This window comes from Homo sapiens, chromosome 9 (genome assembly GCF_000001405.40).
Source record: "Homo sapiens chromosome 9, GRCh38.p14 Primary Assembly".
NCBI classification, from domain to species: domain Eukaryota; kingdom Metazoa; phylum Chordata; class Mammalia; order Primates; family Hominidae; genus Homo; species Homo sapiens.
Genome location: NC_000009.12, coordinates 22193300 through 22199784, shown reverse-complemented (window position 1 = coordinate 22199784; position 6485 = coordinate 22193300). Strand labels below are relative to the sequence as shown.

At 38.6% G+C, this 6485-nt stretch overlaps 1 annotated feature.

Annotated features, from left to right (window-relative positions):
• Positions 2370-2429: an enhancer, noted in NCBI's record as "active region_28246". NCBI's record gives its function as "activates an Ori minimal core promoter by ATAC-STARR-seq in GM12878 lymphoblastoid cells {active_cell/tissue: GM12878}" and the evidence as "EXISTENCE:reporter gene assay evidence [ECO:0000049][PMID:35858748]".

Sequence of the window (6485 nt, the reverse complement as noted above, 5' to 3'; positions counted from 1 at the left end):
TTTTACCTCCAAAAACACACATCACCTCTCCAGCAAGGTTCTGAACTGGCTGAGATGGCTGAAATGACAGAAATGTAATTCAGAATATGGATAGAAATGATTGAGCTATAGGAATAAGGTGAAATCTAATGCAAGGAAGCTAAAAAATCATAAACAATGCAGGAACTTACAGACAAAATAGTCAGTATAGAAAAGAACCTAACCAACCTAATAGAGCTAAAAAATACACTGCAAGAAATTTTACAATGCAACCACAACTATTAGTAGCAGATTAGGCCAAGTGGAGGAAAGAATCTCAGAGCTTGAAGACTGTCTTTCTGAAATAAGACTGTAATAAAGAAATAGAGAAAAAAGAATAAAAAGAAATAAACAAAATCCCTGAGAGATGTGGGATTACATAAAGAAGAAATCTATGACTCCTGGGTGTCCCTAAAAGAGATGGGGAGAAGGGAACTATATAATCTATTCTCATGCTGCAAATAAAACATGTCTGAGACTGGGTAATTTATAAAGGGAAGAGGTTTAATGGACTCACAGTTCAGCATGACTGGGAGGATTCACAATCATGGTAGAAGGTAAAGGAAAAGCAAAGGGAAGTCTTACATGGTGGCAGACAAGAGAATATGTTCAGGGAAACTCTCCTTTATAAAATCATCAGATTTCATGAGACTTATTCACTATTGTGAGAACAGTATGGGGGAAACCACTCCCATGATTCAATTATCTCTACCAGGTCCCTCCCATGACATGTGGGGATTATTAAACTTCAAGGTGAGATTTGGGTGGGGAAACAGCCAAACCATATTATTCCACACCTAGCCCCTCCCAAATCTCATGTTCTCACATTTCAAAAACAATCATGCTTTCCCAACAGCTCCCTGAAATCTTAACTCATTTCAGCATTAACTCAAAAGTCCACAGTCCAAATTCTCATCTGACAAGGCAAGTTCTTTCCACCTATGATCCTGCAAAATCAAAAGCAAGTTAGTTACTTCCTAGATACAATGGGGATACAAGCATTGGGTAAATACACCCATTCCAAATGGGAGAAGTCAGCCAAAAGGAGGGGACTACAGGCTTCATGCAAGTCCAAAATCCAGCAGGGCAGCCAAATTTTAAAGTTCTGAAATGATCTCCTTTTACTCCACGTCTCATATCTAGGTCCTGCTGATGCAAGAGGTGAGCTCCCATGCCCTCTTGGGCAGTTCCACCCCTGTGGCTTTGCAGGGTACAGCCCACCTCTCAGCTGCTTTCACAGGCTGGCATTGAGTGTCTGTGGCTTTTCCAGGTACGTGGTGTAAGGTGTTGGTGGATCTACCGTTCTGGGGTCTGGAGGACGGTGGCCCTTTTCTCACAACTCCACTAGGCAGTGTCCCAGTGGGGAATCTGTGTAGGGGTGCCAGCTCCACATTTCCCTTCCACACTGTCCTAGCAGAGGTTCTCCATGAGGGCCCAACCCCTGCAGCAAACTTCTGCCTGTTCATCCAGACGTTTCCATACTGCCTCTGGAACCTGTGTGTTCCAGGTCCATACATCCTCTGAAATCTACGTGGAGGTTCCCAAATCTCAGTTCTTGACTTCTGTGCGCCCACAGCCCAATACCAAATGAAGGCCACCAAGGCTTGGGTCATGCACCCTTTCTGAATCAATGGCCTGAGTTCTAGCCATGGCTAGGGCACAGGGCACCAAGTCATGAGAATGCACAATGTAGCAAGGTCCTGGGCCCAGCCCACAAGACCACTTTTTTCTCCTAGGCCTCCAGGCCTGTGATGGGAGGGGCTTCTGGAAGACCTCTGGCAGGCCCTAGAGACATTTTCCCTATTGTCTTGGTGATTAACATTTGGCTTCTCATTACTTATGCAAACTTCTGAAGCCAGCTTGAATTTATCCTCAGCAACCGGGTTTTTCTTTTCTATTGCATCATCAGGCTGTACATTTTCTGAATTTTCGTGCTCTGCTTCCCTTTTAAACATGTTTCAGTTCCAAAGCATAAATCTGCGAATACATAAAACTCAATGCATTTAACAGCACCGAAGTCACCTCTTGAATGCTTTGCTGCTTAGAAAATTCTTCTACCAGATACCCTAAATCATTTCTCTCAAGTTCAAAGTTCCACAAATCTCTAAGGCAGGGGCAAAATGCCAGTCTCTTTGCTAAAACATAGCAAGAGTCACTTTTATTCCAGTTTCCAACAAGGTCTTCATCTCCATGTGAGACCACCTCAACCTGAACTTTATTGTCCATGTATCAATGTCAGCATTTTGGTCAAAGCCATTCATCAAGTCTCTAGGAAGATCCAAACTTTCCCTTCAAACTTCTTCCTGTCCTCTTCTGAGCCCTCCAAACTGACCCAACCTCTGCCTGTTTCTCAGTTCCAAAGTCATTTCCACATTTTTGGGTATCTTTACAGCAGCACCCCACTCTACCAGTACCGATTTACTGTATTAGTCAGTTCTCATGCTGTATAAGACATACTTCAGACAGAGGAATTTATAGAGAAAAAGAGGCTAAATAGACTCACAGTTCCACATGGCTGGGGAGGCCTCACAGTCATGGCAGAAGGCAAAGGAGAAGCGAAAGCTTGTCTTAAATGGTGGCAGGCAACAGAGGGTGTACAGGGGAATTCCCTTTTATAAAACCATCAGATCTTATGAGACTTATTTACTACCATGAGAACAATAGGAGGGAAACTGCCCCCCTAATGCAATTTCCTCCACCTGGCCCCACCCTTGACACATGGGAATTATTACAATTCAAGGTGAGATTTGGGTGGGGACACAACCAAACTATATCAGGAACGAATCATGGAAAGAATATTTCAGGACATTATACATAATTTCTCCAACCTTGCTAGAGAGGCCAACATTCAAATTCAGGAAATGCAGAGAACCCCATTGACAAAGAGACATATACTCCCACATAATAATAGTAAGAGACTTTAACACTGTACTGACATTATTAGATAGATTATCCAGACAAAAAAATTAACAAAAATATTCAGGACATGAACTCAGCACTAGATCAAATAGACCTGATACACATCTGGAGTACTCTCCACCCAAAAACAATAGATTATAAGTTTTTCTTATTGTCACATGGTACAGACTCTAAAATCAATCACATAATTGCACATAAAACACTCCTGAGCAAATGCAAACTACTAAAATCATTTACAAAGTCTCTCAGACCATAGCATAATCAAATTAAAAATCAAGACTAAGAAATTCACTCAAAACAATACAATTACATGGAAATTAAATAATATGCTCCTGAATGCCTGTTGGGTACATAATGAAATTAAGGCAGAAATGAAGAAGTTCTTTGTAAGTAATGAGAACAAAGATAAAACATACCAGAATAACTGGGACATAGCTAAGAGAGTGTAAGTGGGAAATTATAGTGCTACATCCCTACATCAAAAAGTTAGAAAGACCTTAAGTTAACAACCTAATATCACAACTAAAAGAATCTCAAATCTAGCTGAAGATAAGAAAAAAAAACAAAATTAGGGATAAACTGAAGGAGACTGAAACAAGAAAAACTATTCAAAACATCAACAAAACTTTAAAAAATAATAATAAAATAGACCACTAGCTAGACTAATATGGAAGAAAAGAGAGAAGGTTCAAATAAACACAATCAGAAATAACAAGGGAGATATTACCATTGACCCCACAGAAATACAAATAATCATCAGAGAATATTATCAACATGTATATGCATGTAAACTAGAAAATCTAGAAGAAATGCATAAATATCTTGACATATACACCCTCCAAAGACTCAACCAAGGAGAAATTAAATTCCTGAACAGACAAATAATGATCTCTGAAATTGAGTAGTAATAAATAGCCTACCAACCAACAAAAGCTCGGGAAAAGCCAGATACACAGCTGAATTCTACCTGTTGTACAAAGAAGAGCTGGTACCATTCCTACTGAAACTATTCCAAAGAATTAATGAGGAAGGTCTCCTCCCTAACTCGTTCAATGAGGCCAGCATCTTCCTGATGCCAAAATGTAGCAGAGACACAATGAAAAAAGAAAATGTCAAGCCAATGTCTATGATGACTATTGATGTGAAAATCCCCAGCAATATACTAGCAAACCTAATTCAGCAGCACATCAAAAAGCTTATCCACTACAACCAAGTAGACTTTTTCTCTGGTGTGCAAGCTTCATTCAACATATGCAAATCAATAAATTTGTCTCATTACATAAACAGAACTAAAGACAAAAACCACATGATTCTCTCAATAGATGCAGAAAAGACTTTCAATAAAATTCAATACCTCTTCATGTTAAAACTCTCAATAAACTAGGTATTGAAGGAACATACCTCAAAATGATAAGAGCCATCTATGACAAACCATGACCAACATCACACTAAGTGGGCAAAAGCTGGAAGTATCCCTCATGAAAACCAGCACAAGAAAAGGATGCCCTCTCTCACCACTTCTATTTAATATAGCATTGGAAGTCCTGGTCAGGGCAATCAGGGAAAGTAAAAAGATAAAGGCATTGAAATAGGAACAGAGGAATTCAAACTGTCCCTGTTTGCAGATAATATAATCCTATATCTAGAAAACACCATAACCTCAACCCAAAAGCTCCTTAAGTTGATAAACTTCAACAAAGTCTCAGGATACAAAAATCAATTTGTCTTCTGAGATAGAAAAATGTTAGTAATGCAAAAATCACAAACATTCCTATACACCAACAACAGTCATGCTGAGGGCCAGATCAGGAACGCAATCTCATTCACAATTGCAACAACAAAAAATTAAATATCTAGGAGTATAGCTAACCACAGAAGTGAATGATTTCTACAAGAAGAAGTAAAAAACACTGCTCAAAGAAATCAAAGATGACACAAACAAATGGAAAAACATTCCTTGCTCGTGAAGAGAATCAATATTGTGAAAATGGCCATACTGCCCAAAGCGATTTATAGATGCAATGCTATTACCATCAAAATGCTATTGACATTCTTCACAGAATTAGAAAAAAAACTATTTTAAAACTCATATGGAACCAAAAAAGAGCCCAAATAGCTAAGGCAGTCCTAAGCAAAAAAAACAAAACTGGAGACATCATGCTACATGGCTTCAACTATGCTACAGGGCTACAGTAACCAAAACAGCAGCATGATACTGGTACTAGAACAGATGCAGAGACCAAGGAACATAATAGAGAACCCAGAAATAAGACTGCAAGCCTACAACTATCTAATCTTCAATAAACCTAGCGAAAACAAGCAATTGGGAAAGGATTTCCTATTCAATAATGGTGCTGGGATAACTGGCTAGCCATATACAGAAAATTAAAACTAGACCCCTTCCTTATATCATACACAAAAATCAACTCAAGTTGGATTACAGACTTAAAATGCAAAACCCAAAAATAATCAAAACCCTAGAATAAAACCTAGGCAATACCAAACAGGATATAGGAATGGGGAAAGATTTCATACGAAGATGCTAAAAGCAATTGCAACAAAAGCAAAAGTTAACATATGGGATCTAATTAAGCTAAATAGTTTCTACACAAGGAAGAAACCATCAACAGAGTGAACAAACAACCTATAGAATGGGAGAATATTTTTGCAAACTACATACCTGAAAAAGGTCTAATATCCAGCATCTATAAGGAACTTAAACAAATTTACAAGAAAAAAATAACCTCATTAAAAAGTGGGCAAAGGACAAGAACAGACACTTCCCAAAAGACATACGTGAGGCCAACAATCATAGGAAAAAAAACTCAACATCACTCATTATTAGAAAAATTCAAATAAAAATCACAATAAGATATCATCTCACACCAGTCAGAATGGCTATTAAAAAGTCAAAAAACAACAGACGCTGGTAAGGCTGCAGAGAAAAAGGACACTTATACAAAGTTGGTGGGAATGTAAATAGTTCAACCATTGAGGAAGACAATGTGGTGATTCCTCAAAGACCTGGAGGCTGAAATACCATTTGTCTCACCTATCCCATTACTAGGTATATACCCAAATGAATATAAACCATTCTATTATAAAGACACATGTATGCATATGTTCACTGCAGCACTATTCACAATAGAAAAGACAGGAATCAATCTAAATGCCCATCAATGGTAGACTTGATAAAGAAAATATGACACAGATACACCATGAAATACTATGCAGCCATAAAAAGGAATGAGATCATGTCATTTCCAGGGACATGGATGGAGCTGGAGGTCATTATCCTTAGTGAACTAATACAGGAAAAGAAAACAAAATACCACATGTTCTCACTTATAAGTGGGAGCTGAATGATGAGAACACATGGACACATACAGGGAAACAACACCTACTGGGGCCTCTCAGAGGATGGAGATTGTGAGGAGGGAGAGGATCAGGAAAAATAATTACTGGGTATGGGGCTTAATACCTGGGAGATGAAATAATCTGTACAACAAACCCACATGGCACAAGTTTATTTATATAACAAACCTGCA